General features: G+C 38.1%; 1 protein-coding gene across 29 annotated transcripts in view; it reads left to right on the plus strand.

Moving 5' to 3' along the window:
• Nucleotides 1–8,222, plus strand: part of BBX (BBX high mobility group box domain containing) — a 288,378-nt gene extending 280,156 nt beyond the window's left edge. For all 29 annotated transcript variants that reach the window (XM_024453646.2, XM_011513001.3, XM_047448599.1 and 26 more), the window contains one exon: nt 2,253–8,222. In XM_024453646.2, coding sequence (XP_024309414.1) covers nt 2,253–2,340 — 88 coding nt within the window. In that variant the 3' untranslated portion in view covers nt 2,341–8,222. The remainder of the gene's footprint in view (nt 1–2,252) is intronic.
• The last annotated feature ends 8,988 nt before the right edge of the window (nt 8,223–17,210 follow it).

Here is a 17,210-nt window from a genome sequence, read left to right on the forward strand (position 1 = left end):
TGAATGAATAAATGAGGTAGTTTCTGAAGTATGACTGCCTAAGTTAGATAACAGGTATAGAAAAAATAATGTGAGTAAAGATTCTTTTTATTTTTTTTAACCTTCCATTAGAAAGAACAGTAATGATTACTAGAATTTTACCATCAACCTAATAAATGGTTAGTGTTCTTAATAGCTAGAAGGACAGATCACCCTGGAGAGTCTTAGCTGTAACTTGAGCCCCTACCTGTTAAAGCAGATCTACCCACCAGGCTTCTACCTGTAGGCTCACTGTTATTGAACCTGGGTTGCATACCAATGAAGTAAGCATTACTTCAGCATCAACTCGGTTCATAGTTTAAAGGGTGGCCCATGGAGTTAGGGGTGGAAATATACGACCTGCACTCATGCCATGAAAAAATCTAACGTTAGGTTCAGAAACCTAACTTAGACAGTTTTACAAAATACACAAAATAGAGAGTTGGAACAAACCTTTGTTAAGAGACCAGTTTATTTACTAGAAGTTAAATTAGCCCTCCCAAGTGGGCCTTTTTAGTCCCATTTTAATGACCGTTAATTAACTTGCCAAGAGCACACAGCCAATTTGTGCCCAAGTCAAGATTTGAACTCCTTATCTCGCGTACTGCCAAAGGAAAGCTTCAGTCATGTCAGAGAAAATCATGAAGAATCTCACCTGACCCTTCCTCTGGGAGCTAGAATCATCAGTTGCAGCACATAGTCCTCTCCCACTGTGATTCTGACTTCTTTCCTTTTTCCATTGATTTAGCTGGACTTTCACCCCAATTTCTCTCTCCTTCTTGCCATCTTTTTTTACATTGCACTTTTCATCTTTTTTGTTTTTTTTTTTCCTTTTCTAATACTTATTAAAATTCTTTTGGGTCTTTTAATATCTTAAAAGTAAAAAGTAGCATTTTAATTTCATCTTTCTTGAACAAAGAGCTGAACATATTGAACAGGTGGTATCTATAACATCCACATGTGAATAGCTTAATCCAGAGGTTTGATTCTAAAATGTTTTGCTTTTCTAAAATCCTAAATATCTTGGGCTATTAAGTGATCATTTGATTCTGAAACCCCCAAATGTTGCAATTTGTCTACATTATTTTTCTTTTTTGTGCATCAAGAGAAACTTGAGTATAGTTATAGAGCAGGTACAAGCTAAATCTTGAAATAGCTCCTTTTGTTCTATGTACTCTGAAGAAGATACGATTTTGAAAGGTCATCCCAATGAAAACATTGCTGATACATCACATATTTTCAGCACAGTGTTATGCACTACAGACCATTGTAGGTTACAGAGCAGTGAGTGTGCATTTTCTAGGATTGGTAGGCCTGTTGGAAAATGTCAAGGAAGTACCCAGTCCTATCTTTTTAGAATGAGAAGCTCTGTAGAAATTACCAAGAATTTTGGACAGTTTTCTCATAACCATGAAGTAAATTGTATTTTTACTACTAATTATACAAAAGCTGAATGAAAAATCAGCTATGTTTGGCATAGGTTCTATCCAAATGATGAAAATTTCCATGAATTTTCTAGTCCTGTCTGGAGTTCTCCCTCCATGTGTATTGATTTTCACCCAACTAGGGTAGATTTTGTTAAAATCTAAAATCCAGCATCAGTGCTTGTTTTCTTCCTCTAAACACTCTCTGTCCATGTGCATGTGAGTTCAGAGGGTTTTATTGTTTCTTCATTCCTTTTTTTTTTTTTGGAGTCACAGTCCATCTCTGTTTCTCTTCCAGAGTCATTGCTTTTATTATCACTAAATTACCTGAAGGTTACCAATTACTATAGGAGAACTTTCCCTTCAGGCAAGTCAAGAAAAGGAATGTGTCATTTTTAATACCAATGGATCAACAGGAAAATTATTGTCCAAGAACCCCAGTCCTTGATTGAAATTTTCCCACTTCTTAAAGAGTTGCCCCAAATCTGTTGGTACTTAAAATTTCATCTCTTCAAAATGGAAGTGGTTAGTTGTTTGAGGCCAGAGGGTATGCTGTTGAGTTGTATGAGGGGAATTCAGATATAAAATCTTAGGAAGGGAGACAGAATGGGAAGGAGGAAGGGGAAAAAAAGGATAAGGAAGGGGACAGAAGAGAAAAAACTCTAAAGCAAAAACAGTTTTCATTAAATGATGTAAGTAACAGCAGTAACTGTTAAACAAGATATTGGAACACACTTGTTATTCATCGTCCTCTCCTGTCTCTAATAACATATGCTGAATAAGTGACTTTTTCTTCCTTTTATTTTACAGAGGTCAGAGGTCAACTCCGCTCACCCATGATGGACAGCCAAAAGAAATGCCGCAGGCTCCTGTACTTATTTCCTGCGCTGACCAGTGAAGCGCCCTTTCATTGTAAAACATTGTGCTTTACCTACTACCCTAGCCTTGTCTTTACCGAGGGATGCTAGTGAGTCCAAGTGGTGGAAAATATAGACTGCAAACAAGTGCTTGTTGCCCCACACGGCCCAGATTCACTTGAAGCAGAAGTTAGCATCCTGGGCCAGTTTGTTCTCTCAGAACCCAGAATCTTTGAGGGTAAGGTTATCTGTCTGATACTGAGCAGAAACAGAATGATCCTGGAGCTTTGCTTTCTATTGAAGGCTTTTGACGGTAATAGGTGGTAACTTGGTAAAAGGCTGCCTTTACTGTAGCTCACCCAGCATCTCTTTTACCAACCAGAGAGTGTGAAACTAGTTTCATATATTACCTAGTTATTCTTTCAAAACAAAACAAAAAAAAAACAAAAACTGACGCACTGCACTAGTTATTATTAGATATTCTTAGTCTTTTTTGTACATGGAGATTTAAGTTTAAGATGGTTTATATAATAGGTTATACCTACATTTATATTGTAGAATAAATATTAAAAAGCCTGTTCCAGAGACTCCCAAGCAGCCTGGGCAGGCAGATGTACCATTGTTAGTGGTGTATGCTCGGCCTCGTGGTCCATATATTCTGCACTTTTATATTTGCCACCAGAATGGTAGTTTGCTGGCAAAAAAAAAAAAAAAAGAGAGAGAGAAAAAATTACAACTCTTACAATCTGAATTTTTTTCTTAGCCTTGAGTGACCAAGAAGAATTTGCTTGAGGCAAATTGTGGCAAATATTTTCCCAGACAGGGGAAGAGTCCTGCAGATTACAGATTACTGGTGTTTTCATGCCTTGAGGATTCTTTTATTTTTACATAGGGGTCTAAGTGACCAATGGATTGTTCATACAAACAAAAAAAAAGACAAAAATATTATTCAGAAGTGACCTTAGTATTACTTCACTATTCTAAACACATTGAAGACACTCACTTCATGTGGACTTGGAGCTACAGACCTTTTACATCCATCACAGATTGGCTGGACGGGTTGCAATTGCTATGCACAGCCTGATTGGCACTGCAGGTTTTTAGAGCCATTTTGAGTTTGTGTTGTTTAGGAGGTACTGAGTCAATGATGAGGGAGGTATGCCTGACCAGAGTGGGACTCTCAGTCATAGATCCACCTGCAAGTCTCTGTTTCCTTTTTGTGTTTTGTTGCTTTTGAACATAAAACCAACCATACATAAGCAGCGCCAAGTGGATTAACTGGCTTAGAACATTCAACATATTGACTTAACCACCTGACATTCACAGTGTCTTGTTTCCTAGCAACAGATGCAAAGTGATAAATCAAAATTAGTCTGAGGCTACAGATTTTACAGGGTATTTGTTCTATAGCACAAAGTATTTCCCCACTCTTGCGTCACAGCACAAACTACCAAATTTTAATTATTGGATTCCAGCAATAATTTTTAATGGTTTTCAAACTGGCGGAATTTTGACAGTGCTAGTTCGAGTTTGAAGCTTTTGAATTAGATCTCTAAATGGTGACAGTTTACATGGTTTTATCTAGCTTTCTTATTTATACTTGACTGAATTGTAATGATTTTTTTTCTAATTGTAATTTGACGTAATAGCCATACAAAAAATGACTCTATTCATACTAGGTTTAGCTTCTCATGGTTGTAGATATTACTTCAGTTCCGGTGCTGGAAAATATGTACAACATACTAACAGGATTGAAAAAAAAATAGAGGTTTTTCTTCTTGTTTTTTTTTCCAAAGCAGGTAAAGAGGGTAGCAAAGCATCGGAATGATGTGCTCAAAAATGCATATTCCTGGTGGGGATGGAGGAAGAAGGCATTAGTAAAAGGTTAATCAAACGTTACAACTTAACCCCATTCATGTAGGAATAAATCAAGTGAGCAGTTCCAGACTTTTGCATAATATTTTTACTATGATGCTGTTTTATTAATATTTTCTAAATTTCAAAACAAAAAGTGAATGTTTGAAATTGCTGGGTCCCGATGTTGGTGGCTGTTGGAGTTTTGGACCACTCGCTAGCAGTGATTTGAAGATTATAATTAGCTAAAATCCAAAACAAAAAACCAACAACAAAAATTGTATGGTGCGGAACATGCACCTTGACAATGGTACTAACTTGTTATTCTATAGAACACGTTAGAATAGATCTATTTTTGCCAGAGCACCCTCCTTCAGTCCTCCGATTACATTTCACTAGAGTTCCTTACGAGATTGCTGTATATTCCTGGGACCTTTTTTAAAAAAAAAAAAAGCAAAACAAAAGATTACTTTTTTTCTATGTGATTAATATCTTACTTGATCTGCTTTTCCTAAACCTCAGTGGCTTTTCCCTTAGGCAGGGTTGGGGGTGGGAGGGCAACTTACTGGAGATGACTGTTTTCAGATACTTTAAAACAAACCTTTTTGTAGAAATGCTTAATTTTTAAGCGGTTAGGCACTGAGAGTAGCAGAAATCCTGCAAAGCTTTATAGTTCCTTAGACTCACCTTGTCGATTCTCTGAGTAAAGTCTTGATTTCAATAATTGTGCTTCTCATGCCCTGAAACTGCTGGAGAGGAGTGTTGTTATTTTCAGGTAACAACATTCGTTAGCACAAATATTTCAGACCAATATTAGTGCTCTCCACCCCACCTTTTGTTATCATTTTCATTTCATTTCTCTCATTCTTTTTTATTTTGGAAAATCATATTGCTATAGTGTGTACTTTAATCTGCCAGCAGATACCATCTACACTAACATTTGTCCCACAGCATCCTCAAGAGAAAAAGTTGTTGCACCTTATATATATCTCAAGCAAACCAAAATATGATGCTCTTCTGCTTTGTTTTATTCTAAATTGTTGTATCATATCTTTCTGAAACCATTCTGAATTTAGTTGAAATTATCAATATTTATGCTTTTAACCTTAATTTCTGGATTCAAGCCTGTATATAAATCTTTTGAAAAAAAATTGTCCTAGCCCTTCTCTGCGATGCTGGAAGTAGAAGATTGCGTCTCAGATGGAGACGCAGTACTGTTCCAGTTTTCTTTAGCCTTTTATTTATTTAGTTATTCTGGGTATTTCCTATGTAATTTTGAAGTGTGTAGAGTATATTATAGTAACTGAAGCTGCAGCTGTAAGAAGCTGAGTGAAAGAAAAAATACTGTAAGACATCCTTAAAGTTTTTATTTGTTTGGGTACTGTATATGAGATCAGGAAAAAGAAAAATGTCCCACAGCCACATTGGAAATACAGGTTCTTGTCCCCAAATTAGGTTAGTTCCCAGATTTTAGATCAAAACTGTTAATTCATTAAAACCCCTTTTAAAAGGTAAATTCTACTGTTGTAATTCCGATAGTCTTTTTCCCACAAATATCAGAAATATATTTATTTAATTCTGTCAGATGAGCTTTCTACCGATGCCATGTCCCAAAGCCATGTTAAAATAATTCCCACGTTATCATTGTGATTCTACTTCCTGCCACTAAAATTGCTGGAGAAACAAAATAATGATGGAACACTATGAACAAAAAGGAGCATCTGAACTGGTCTGGTTATTTAGAATCCAATGTGTTCAAATCCTTTTGTTTTCTTATTAAGTCAGATGCTACTGTAAGTCAGATAAAATTTTGTTTGCACTCTGCAGTCTTTGGCTCAATGTATGGAAATGTTTGCACCTATGTAAAGTCACAAGCTAATTACAAATTGCTACAGAACAGGAGTAAGCTGAAAACTGAATGCCATGTTTTGTTTATAAGGTGGGGAGGGGAGGGAAAATACCAAAAAACTCTGTTCCAAGTTTGGCATTTGACATTAATGTGAAGCAGTGGGACCATGCTGCCTGCTAAACTACTGTATGAATCGTAAATGTTCTGAAGACGAGCAGCTGGAGGCTGGAGGATGGCATTCCATACAGCAAAGGAGAAGCACCCACCACTTCATCTGGGAAAAGGAAGGAAATTGCAGGAGGCCTGGAGCCATCATTTGTAAAGGGGATGTTGCGGGGTGTGATGCTGTTGAGGAGATTCACCTTCAATTGCACTGCTCCACAGAGCCCTCATATAAGGCCAATCCTAATGGGCTACCTCGGCTTTAAAAGTTAATTTCAGTAAGTCCTGTTTCAAAAGTTTGTCTTTTTTTGCTTCTACCTTCAGTGCCACTATTTTCCACTGCAGTGTTTTGACTTCACAAACTGCCTCCTCCAGAGAGAACAATGTATTGCTGAAAATGGGCAGTAGAAGCAAATGCTGTTGTTACATTTGACCTATAAAGTATTCAGAGTGACTGCTAGGTAGAAATTAAAACTTAGCTTTCCCAAATAGCTCCTTATTTTGCACCTTATAAAAAGTATACTAATTGTTAATTAGATGTTGCTTTTGTTTATACAAGCATTCCCAAAGAACTAGATTTGGATTTTGTTTTGAGTTTTTGGATTTTTAAAAATTATCTTATTTAGATTGACTAACAGCATACTTACAATTTTAAAAGAAGCTGTTGTTCAGTTCATCTTACCAGATGTGTCTGGCGAAGTATTCAGGGTTTGATGGACTGCTTTACTTTCGTTTGGAAGTGATAGCTAAGTTTATTATACTCTATATTAAACAACTTTGTTCATTTCACTGAGGACCTTATCTTCCTTATATTTCAGAACAAAGAAGCAACAAGCGTGAATAAAAAGACAAATGTATTTGACTCCCTCATAATCCCCATCTGTATGTGCTACCCTTCCTTCAAATATATAAATGTGCATCTTTTTTTTAAAAAAAAAAAAAAAAAAGGTTCCTCTTCTGGCCAAATTTGATCTATGGTGGTATGATTCATACTGTTAAATTGAGAGAGGAAACCTTGTGGTTAAAAATTATATGGCTGCTGTTTTCTTTTTGCAGTCAGTGGTCAAAACTGATCATGTGCTTAAATCGATTTTTATGCACAGAACTAGTTATTGTGAACATTACTGCTCCCTCCAAAGATTTCCTGATAACTTGGGCCAGAGGTGGTTACTGAGTAACAAGGATCTAATTCAATGCCTCAAAACTCTTCCACCCACAATGCAAATCTTACCTCACAAGCTCTAACCTAAATCACAGAGACATGCATGTTTCATGCATTAACACTGATTTCGCTCTGTGGCCCACCAGAGGGGTGGGCTCATGTCCCCTGACTCCTCACATGAGTGCCTCAGCTCTAAGAGCCGTGGAACGGGGGGTAGGGAAGGTTTGCGATCTGGAGCTCAGCAACTGGCTCAGCAACGTTTTCTCCATTTCATTAGCACTAAACAAGTCTCTTGCTCTCAGGAATTTGTCAGAAAAAAGAATAAAATCACCTGAGACTCCACATACCAGATTATAAACTCTTCTCGTAGGTTTGAATTGCTTACTCACATGTCATAAATTAACCACAGCTTCATTTGACCACCAGGTCTAAAGTCTGTTGACAGTTTCAGCATGACTGAATCGCTCATTTTTTTTTTTTGCTTTCAGAAATTGGCTTGGTTCTCTTTAGAGTTGGTGTAAACATGCCATGTAATAAATGATTTCCACTTAATGGTACAACAGAATTATTGCTTTCTTAGATGTATGTGTAGTAAAAGTCAATATACACATTTATATAATTTCTTTCTTCAAAATCTTATACCTAATTTGATATTTCTAAAAATTGCACATGTAAGTCATGTGTATAACATGCTAAAGTACTTTAACTGTGATCTTAAAACTGAATAAAAATATTTAATAAAACTTTGAAATATTTTAAAGATATTATTCAAATATATTTCTTTATGTTCACACTACTGGCCGTAGAGTATGTGCCTTTAATGTACCATTTTCACTAAAAACAGTAGGAAAAATACTAATAAAAGTAAGATATTTCAACTATTTTAGAACATCGAATGATGTGTCCCCCTAAACTGTGTTTGCCTGTGATTTGCCATTGTCTGGACAGCCTTGGTTGCTTTTCCCAAAAGTGTAGAGTGATGATCAGCCCAATAGAAGAAGAGGATATGCTTCAGTACGCCACTTGGGTGAACGCTTCTGGGGTGCGCTTCTGGGACTAGTGATCAGAACACACCATCTTTCCCTGAACTGGGACAAAACTGTGGAAGCGATTTCATTAAGAGTGTTACCTAAGTATAAACTCGCACCTCAGATTTGGTGAATACAATGTTCCTAAGTTGTTTTTTTTAATCCTTTGGAAACTACACGCATGCATGCACACAGTATTAATTATCAACAAATAGACTTTGTATTCAGACAGTTCTTCTACCCATGTACCATTGGGTTTTTTTTAACCTCCCTAATTCAGATTTATTGATAGTGATGATACCTCCTCATACCATTGCTGTGGTGAAGAAAAGAGAGTATATATGAAAATATTGTCATAGGGCCTGTAGCATAAATGCCCATTAAATGGTAATTATTGATTGTATTGTTTTAATTCCAACTGTAAGGTTAGCATTTTTTTAAGTACATTCAAAAGATATGATGAGTATAACTATTCAAGATAAACTTTGATGCTGTAGAGATAAGCTGTTGCAGGAGATTTGATGGTATGGAAAACTCAGAATAGGTAAAAATTTGCACCCATTAACTCATAACTTTTATATGTAGCACTATGTAAGATTTTTCTATAAAATTAGCCTGTCTAATGAATTATACGAGATATTCCAGCACACCTCCTTTCCATTGCTGAGAATAAGATTGTGTGTGTGTGAGGGAGAGAGAGAGAGAACATGGGGTCCATACCAAAGATTAAAATTCTGTTAGGAAAAAAGTGACAGGATATACATAAGTGTAGTTTTATGGTCCTGTGTGTATTACACAATTGCACCGATCCTTTTGAATAGAACATAAAACCTATTGCAAGGAAAAATTAAGTGATTCTAATCAACAGTCAGCTAAAACATACTACTGACTCCATTCCATACATATTTTAAAAGGATTTATACTAAAGATAAAATTATGAATCATAATTTATCATAAACCTTTTTACCTTTTTGAAATTATAGGAATTTTCAAATACAGTATATGCAGAAGTAGAGAGGTATTTTGAACCCCATATACACATAATCTAGCTTCAACAAATAACATTTTCCCACTCTGGTTTTATCTGTGTCTGTTTTTTCCCTTTTACGTACCCCAGAAGATATGCATATCCCAGAAACATTTCATCTGAGAAAATTATCAGAGAAGCCTTTAAAAGTGAATCTTTTGGTACTCACAGATTTTAATTTTTTAAATATTTTCTCCTCATGATTCCAAAAATGTTGTCTAAAGCATAAAGGAACCCATGAACCCAAAGAACGGAAGTGCTGAAGTGAAAGTCATTTGGAATTAGAAGACACTGTTCAGATTTGCTCTCTCTGTATTTACCTTTTTTGATCCACGGTGTCGAGAGAGACTTTTAACTTACTTCATCAAAGAGATCCCTTCTTTATGATGACTTTTTTTAGGGGTTGAGGGGGAGGGTTGTTTATGATTCTTTTTTCCCTAGACGACCTAATGAAAGGCCCAAAGGCTAAAACTTGATTTGTGTCAACTGTATGTCCTTACACTTTTCCCTCCCACACTATTCCCACTGCATTTTTTTCTCCCCTAGACTTGCAAGAGAAAATCTGTTGGAGGGGTAGAGAGAATATTTTAGATGAGCCCTGGAAGGCAAGTTGCCAAAGGTTTTAAAAATCTGAAATGCTAGGTCAGTTGGCCCAAAATTAAAGCATGAAATGAAATCTCTTTCTGGAAGAGATAAAATGATAGTTTGGCTCACCCCGCTTGGAGATTCCTTACCCTGTGGAATTTTACAAAAGGTCATTTTGTTGCAGGGTTGTATGTAGGAGAGTCAGAAGAGAAAAATGTGAGATTGAAAGTCTCTTAAGGGTGATAGAGGATGAAAGGGGGAAAGGGGAAGTTTATATAAAATAGGTTGTGGATATCTTATGTTTAGAAGTCAGAATGGTTTTAAAGCCAGCATGAAAATATGTCCAAGAAATAAGCTCAAGTACAATGATTTTTTCCTGATCTTTTCTACTGTTGGGCATCATTATCTATGGTGCTTATAAAAGGCCAATTAAACTTCAGATAAAATTTATATCCTCCAGAAATCAACATATGAGGCCCTGAAAAATATGTACAAGCAATATAAATATAATAGATACAAAAACAGGTAATGATTTACCATATACTTTGAAGTATTCAAATATATTTAATAGAAAAGCGAATTTGTAGAATAAAAAAATTTCTCCCAGGTCAAAATATATAATCCTTGAGATAAATACTGGAAAAATTTAGACATTGTTTTATAAAATATTTTCAATTTTCCCATACCATGTATCTTGGCTTGGGTATTTGGTAGTGTGCTAAAAATAAATTTAAAAGCAATATTCTGCACATGAATCTTTGAATACCTTAAACCTTTTAATACATAGGATATGAAGTATTTAACAGGTGAATGCTAGCCTCACCTGCATTAAAAACTGTATTGTTAGAATAAAATTGCATACAGTTCTTCATTCCATTACTCTGTTTCAAAGCCCATGGAAAATTATTTCATCTCCCATGCTTTGACTTCAGAAGAGTTTTCTGTTACCCACAGCTCATATCATGCACCCATAACAATAATCCATTCAGCAAATCTGCATTGGATGTCTACTGTGTGCAAGTACCAAGAAGACAGTCTAGCAGGGGTTAGAGACAGTCTGTTGAAATGCAGTACAGATGAAGCTGGGGATCAAAGCCTGTCAGGGGAAAATGACATATGAGCTCATGGGAAACTCGATAATCTGCATTTTGAAGACATCAAGAAAAAAAAAGTGTATGTGTTACTGTTCTTTAAAATTTTATTTTTAAAACTTTTTCTCACAGAAAAGATCTTAGCGCAAGGACAAAAGGAACTGCTGAGACTAGGCCACAGAGCTCCAAGACTGACAAATATGTGATCAAAGTCTTTGGGGGCGATCCATCATGCTGTGTACCTTTCCTTTCTGAGTGGCTTAGGATAGGGAGCATCTCAGCCAGGCTGGTTCCAGGACTGATGTCACTGTGGGGCTGGGTTGTGCACCAGCTACAGCCTTGACATAGCCTAAGAATATTTGGAAACGTAAGGTCAGGAAGTACAGCTCAAACATTTGGCCCAGGAAGGAGGTGGTTCTGTCACCAGATAGTGTGATTCCCCCAACTCTTTTCCTTCTCCCTTTGCCATACCCTTCTTTCCTCACCTTAGTTCCAGCTCTCACATACTGCTGAAATCTAATTTTTTTCAATCGTTGAATTTTTCTACAGGGATGGCACCCCATGCCCACCAGAGCTATTTTAATTTCCCTTTCTTTTTTACTTTTTTCTTCACTGAGAATAGCTGTAAGGTTTTTATGGCTGAGGGAATGACTCAAGAAATCCTTTGCTCTAGGAGGATTCCTGGAACAAAAAGGAGCTGCTATAAAGGTTTCTCATTTTTGATGAGTGCTGCCCCCACTTCGTTTGGGGTCTAAATTGGGCACGTGAGCCCTTGCTAATCCTTATCCTTAAAAAAGGACTTTACTACAGAAGGTACCTATTCTTACAGGACTCCCCGGGATTACTTTTCCTTTGGGAGTAGGGAAGGTTTTGTTTCTACTTTTTAAACATTCACCTTCATGTGACCAAATCAAAATCCCCTTTTCTGGAATTGGTAGTTAAAGGAATTCTTTCTTCTAACTCTGAAAACATCTTTTAAAAAAGCAAAACCATCTCTCTCAGGTATGCAAGCTGCACTGTAATTTATGTATGTATGCAGCAAAGTTTTAGAAATTTAGAGTTTAATTTAAAGTTCATCAGGCACCTGTCCGCGGCCCCTGAAGATTCAGTCAATAAAATCTGTGTTGCCAAAGGTTTAATTTGAACTTCCTCTCCCCACTTCCCAAAGATCTGACTTTAAGTGAGTTGGTGACATATGGAGCAACATTTCCTAAGCACCTAATGTGTACAGAGGACTGGCTGACCAACAGGCAGGATGCTTGTCTTCCGACACCTCCACCTGCCCACCTGATATGGCACCTAAAATTCTAACCATAGTGCATAGGGGTTGACCGTAATAAGTATGCTACCTTCCTCCTTGGGACACTGAAATTGGAATCAGACCAAGATATTTTCTTTTACATATGGGCATTTATCCATGTAAATTACTTTTTTGGCTTCCTCTTTCACTCCCCTGCCCACACATCCAATATTCCATATGTCTTCTTTTATTTTTATTTTTTATTTATTTTTATTTTTTTATTTTTTTGAGACGGAGTCTTGCTCTGTTGCCAGGCTGGAGTGCAGTGGCGTGATCTCGGCTCACTGCAACCTCCAATTCCCGGGTTCAAGCGATTCTCCAGCCTCAGCCTCCTGATAGCTGGGACTACAGGCGCGTGCCACCACGCCCAGCTAGTTTTTCTATTTTTAGTAGAAACGGGGTTTCACCATGTTGGCCAGGATAGTCTCGATCTCTTGACCTCGTGATCTGCCCCCACCTAGGCCTCCCAAAGTGCTGGGATTACAGGCGTGAGCCACCATACCCTGCCCATATGTCTCCTTTTAAAACACAGTTTTCTGGTCCAGGTGTAGGCTTTTCCTTTTCCGAGTTGCCTTTGTGTGACATTCTAGCCTGCCACCACCACTGCCTGCTCCTCAGCCAAAGATCTATTTTAGATAGAATCCGTCTCAGCTTTTGAGCCTACTGCAGAGAGCAGCAACACCAGTAATTAGTGGTGGCAAGATGAAGCAAGTCATAAATTAACTGATGAATAATATTTTCCGGGGAATAGCAGGGCTTCACCCACATTCAAAAGGAGGGCAGAACCAACCAAGCGGCAAAATTCCACAGCAGGCGGGATGCTGAAAGATACTCCAGTCACTCAGCAGAGAACAGTTTTTCCCCGACAGTTCACCTTGCCCTGCTGAGGAGCACTGTCTGCTGTCATAATTCTCCAAGTTTTGGAACAGAGCCGGAGTTTCCAGGATTACACTGCTGCAGATGAGCAGCACTATTCACACTTCCTAGTACCTCATTTTTTTTCCTAGTCAATTTTATTTTGAGGTTAAAACTTTTTCATTCGAATGTTAAACTCAAATTAGCTTTTCTTAATTTTACCTTCTAAACGTACAATATACATACACATTTCCGAGTTTGAGCATCAGGCACAAAGGTGGTCCATTGTCATGTAAACAATGACCTTGTGTTGCCAGCACTCAGAAGCTAAGAAATGGGCACTTGTCCTACCCCTTTGCCTCTGCTTTTTTTTAAATACAGCTTTTTTTTTTTTAGCACTTGTGTTGCACTAATTACTCCAGATGTTTACATAGAATTATATGTGCTTCCGAGTCACTCAACAGCCTGATCTACCTTTTCCATTTATGGGTTTTAGGCTGGGTGTGGTGGCTCGAGACTATAATCCTAGTGCTTTGGGAGGCTGAGGCTAGAGCATCACTTGAGGCTAGGGATTCGAGACCTGCCTGGACAACAAAGTGAGATGTCATCTCTACAGAAATTTTAAAAAATTAGCCAGATGTGGTTGTGTGTGCCTGTAGTTCCGGTTACTTGGGAAGTTGAAGCAGGAGGATTGCTTGAGCCCTGGAGTTCGAGGCTGCAGTGAGCCATGATCCTGCCACTGCACTCCAGCCTGGGTGACAAAGCAAGATCCTATCTCTAAAAAAGAAAAAAAAAATTCAAAATAAAGGATATGGGTTTATCCCCTCTGTTGCTCATAAGCTGCTGGTTTTACTGAGCAATTGCTTCTGTAAGGTTGTATAAACCTAACTGTGTTCACTTCTACAGAACCTCCTTTTCTTTATCCATGCCAGATATGTGTGACTCAGTTTGTAAATCATTTGAAGACAGTGTCTCCTCTCAACCTCCTTGTACTTCTTATACCAGAGCTGGGGAACTATTTCTTAGGTATCATCAGAGGCTGAATGTCTGGCTTCTTCCCAGATCAATAGGTGCACTGTCACCCTGCAACAAGGCCTCCAGGAAACCAGAGAGAAAGGAACTGCTAGGCAGCTTCACTTCATTTGTACATTCCACTTGGCTATGATTATCAGCCAGAGAATATTCTCCTGAGATGGCTGAGACCAGGTCTATTTCAAATGACTTCGAAAGGACAATGCTCTCATTGCATACTTGAGAAAAATTGCCGGCTGCACAGAGGAAGAGAAGCGACATTCTGAAATGTGATAGTGAAGCATAACAGTAAAATGGAAAGCAATTTAAATGTATTACTGGACAAAAACCATTAGCCCAATGAACATAAATAACCTGACTGAAGAAGGGCACTGTTCCCAGATAACTTCTTGAGTTTGGAGGAAATTTCTCTCTTACTAGAAAACCATTGAGTGTCATTAGAGTGGTTTGCAACTGAAACATGTTATCAAGGAGTCAGATTTTTCCACTTGTGTAAACAACTCTATTGGAATTACTGTGTGACATTTTTGCAGGCAGGGAAGCCAATAACGACTGATATCACCAGATCCAGGCAATTTTGCTTTATAAGAAGGGCTGTCAATTCCTGATTGTTCCTCTCAGATTATCCTCAGCAGATGCTGCCAAATACTTATTGACATCACCCACACCATTAACCACTCCCTGAAAGTCTTTGTGTTGTTAATTCTGTTTTTATTTAATTCAGCAAAAACTAGAAGACAAATCTCTAGACTCTGGAAAGATGCAAAGCTCAGAGACCCCAGTGCTGCTTTAGGTTGGTGGATCCAAGTAGGTGAAGGTTGTGCATGGAAGATGTCATTAGGATTATCCATAGTGCATCGTCATCATAATTTCTTGCTACATTAGTAATGCTCACACTGAAGAAGCCTATTCAGCTTCCCAGTGGTTCATGAATCTCAGGGGGTGTTACCCTCCTCCTGAGACTCTGAAGGTGGTGATCAGCAGCCCCTAATAAATGTGTTCACAACTGATCCAAAATGCAGTATGTCAGTTTGAGAGGTGAAGCCAGCTGGACTTCCTGGGTCGAGTGGGGACTTGGAGAACTTTTCTGTCTTACGAGGGGATTGTAAAATGCAGCAATCAGCACTCTGTAAAAACACACCAATCAGTGCTTTGTAGCTAGCAAGAGGTTTGTACAATGCACCAATCAATGCTCTGTAAAATTGATCAATCAGCGCTCTGTAAAATAGAACAATCAGCGCTCTGTAAAATGGACCAATTAGCAGGATTCTAAACGTAACCAATCGGGAGGATTGAGAAAAGGGCATTCTGATAGGACAGAAACAGGACATGAGAGGGGACAAATAAGAGAATAAAAGCTGGCCACCCCAGCCAGCAGCAGCAACCCGCTCGGGTCCCCTTCCATGCTGTGGAAGCTTTGTTCTTTTGCTCTTCACAATAAATCTTGCTGCTGCTCACTCTTTGGGTCCCTGCCATCTTTAAGAGCTGTAATACCGCAAAGGTCCGGCGCTCAGTTCTTGAAGTCAGCAAGACCACGAACCCACTGGAAGGAACCAACTCCAGACACAAGTTCTTAGGGTTTCATTTTTTTTTCTTTGGTATTGTTTGTTTTGTTTCTGCCAAAGGAGGAGAAAGAGTTTCCAGGACAATCACCTTGGACTCCGAAAAAAGTTTTTTAAATTTCTTGGCTCAAGGTATCTGCCCCCAATGAGGGCGGGACCACAAGCACTCCAGGATGGCGGCTAAGCACTGGCTGGAGAGCATCAGCCTCATGTAAGTGATGTGGGTGGGAGGACTGGACACTCTGAAAATCAGAATCTTCCTTAATACAAACCCACAGCCCAGGACAAGCAACAAACATAAATTCCCCAGGAATCAGTCAGGCTGGGAGGAGGGAGCTGGTTTGTACAGCTCTGCAGCACCTAACTAATGCAGTGCCAACATATCTCTAATGTGGCCATAATAACATCTAGCTCCAGGGGTCCTTTGGGGATGCTATATTACATTTGAACAAATTGTGTGAACTCTAAAATGCTATATAAGAATATAATGGTTAAAAAATTAAAAAGCTTTAAGATAATGAAAAGAGAAGCCATAGACTGGGAAAAAGAAATATGTGCAAACACATATCTGATATAGCACTCGTACCCCACATATACAAAGAAGTCTTAAAACTCAACAATTAGGAAACAATCCAATTAAAAGGTGGGCAAAAGATCTGAATAGACACCTTAGGAATGAGAATCTACAGATAGTAAGTAAGCATATGAAAAGATACTCCACATCTTATGTAATTAGGGACTTGTAAGTTACCACAATGAGATACCACTATGTCCCTGTTAGAATGGCCCAAATCCCATACACTGATGATATCAAATGCTGGAGAGGATGTAAAACAACTGGGACTCTCATTCATTGCTAGTGGGAATGCCAAACACTACGGCCACTTTGGAACAATTTTGTTGTTTCTTACAAAGCTAAACATAGTCCTACCACACAATCCAGCAAATGTCCCTAGATATTTAGCCAAGCGAACGGAAACGTATGTCCACACACACACAAAAATCTGTGCAAGAATGCTTATGGCAGCTTTTATCATAATTGTCAAAACTATAAGCAAACAAGATGTCTTTCAAGAGGTGAATGAAGAAAGAGTGATACATCCAGATAATTGAATATTATATGAGCTATCAAGACACAAAAAGACATGGAAGAATTTAAATGCAGATTACTAGGTGAAAGAAGCCAATCTGAAAAGGCTGCATACTGCATGCATTCAACTACTGTATATGATATTCTGGGAATAGCAAAACTATACAGATGGTAAAAGCATTGGTATTTGCCAGGGGTTCGGGTTCAGGGAGGGGTAAATAGGTGAAGGACAGTGGATTTTTAGAGCAGAAAAACTGTTCTGTATGATACTATGATGGTGGATGCATAACATTATACATTTGCCAAAAAAAACC

This window comes from Homo sapiens, chromosome 3 (assembly GCF_000001405.40).
Source record: "Homo sapiens chromosome 3, GRCh38.p14 Primary Assembly".
Taxonomy (NCBI): domain Eukaryota; kingdom Metazoa; phylum Chordata; class Mammalia; order Primates; family Hominidae; genus Homo; species Homo sapiens.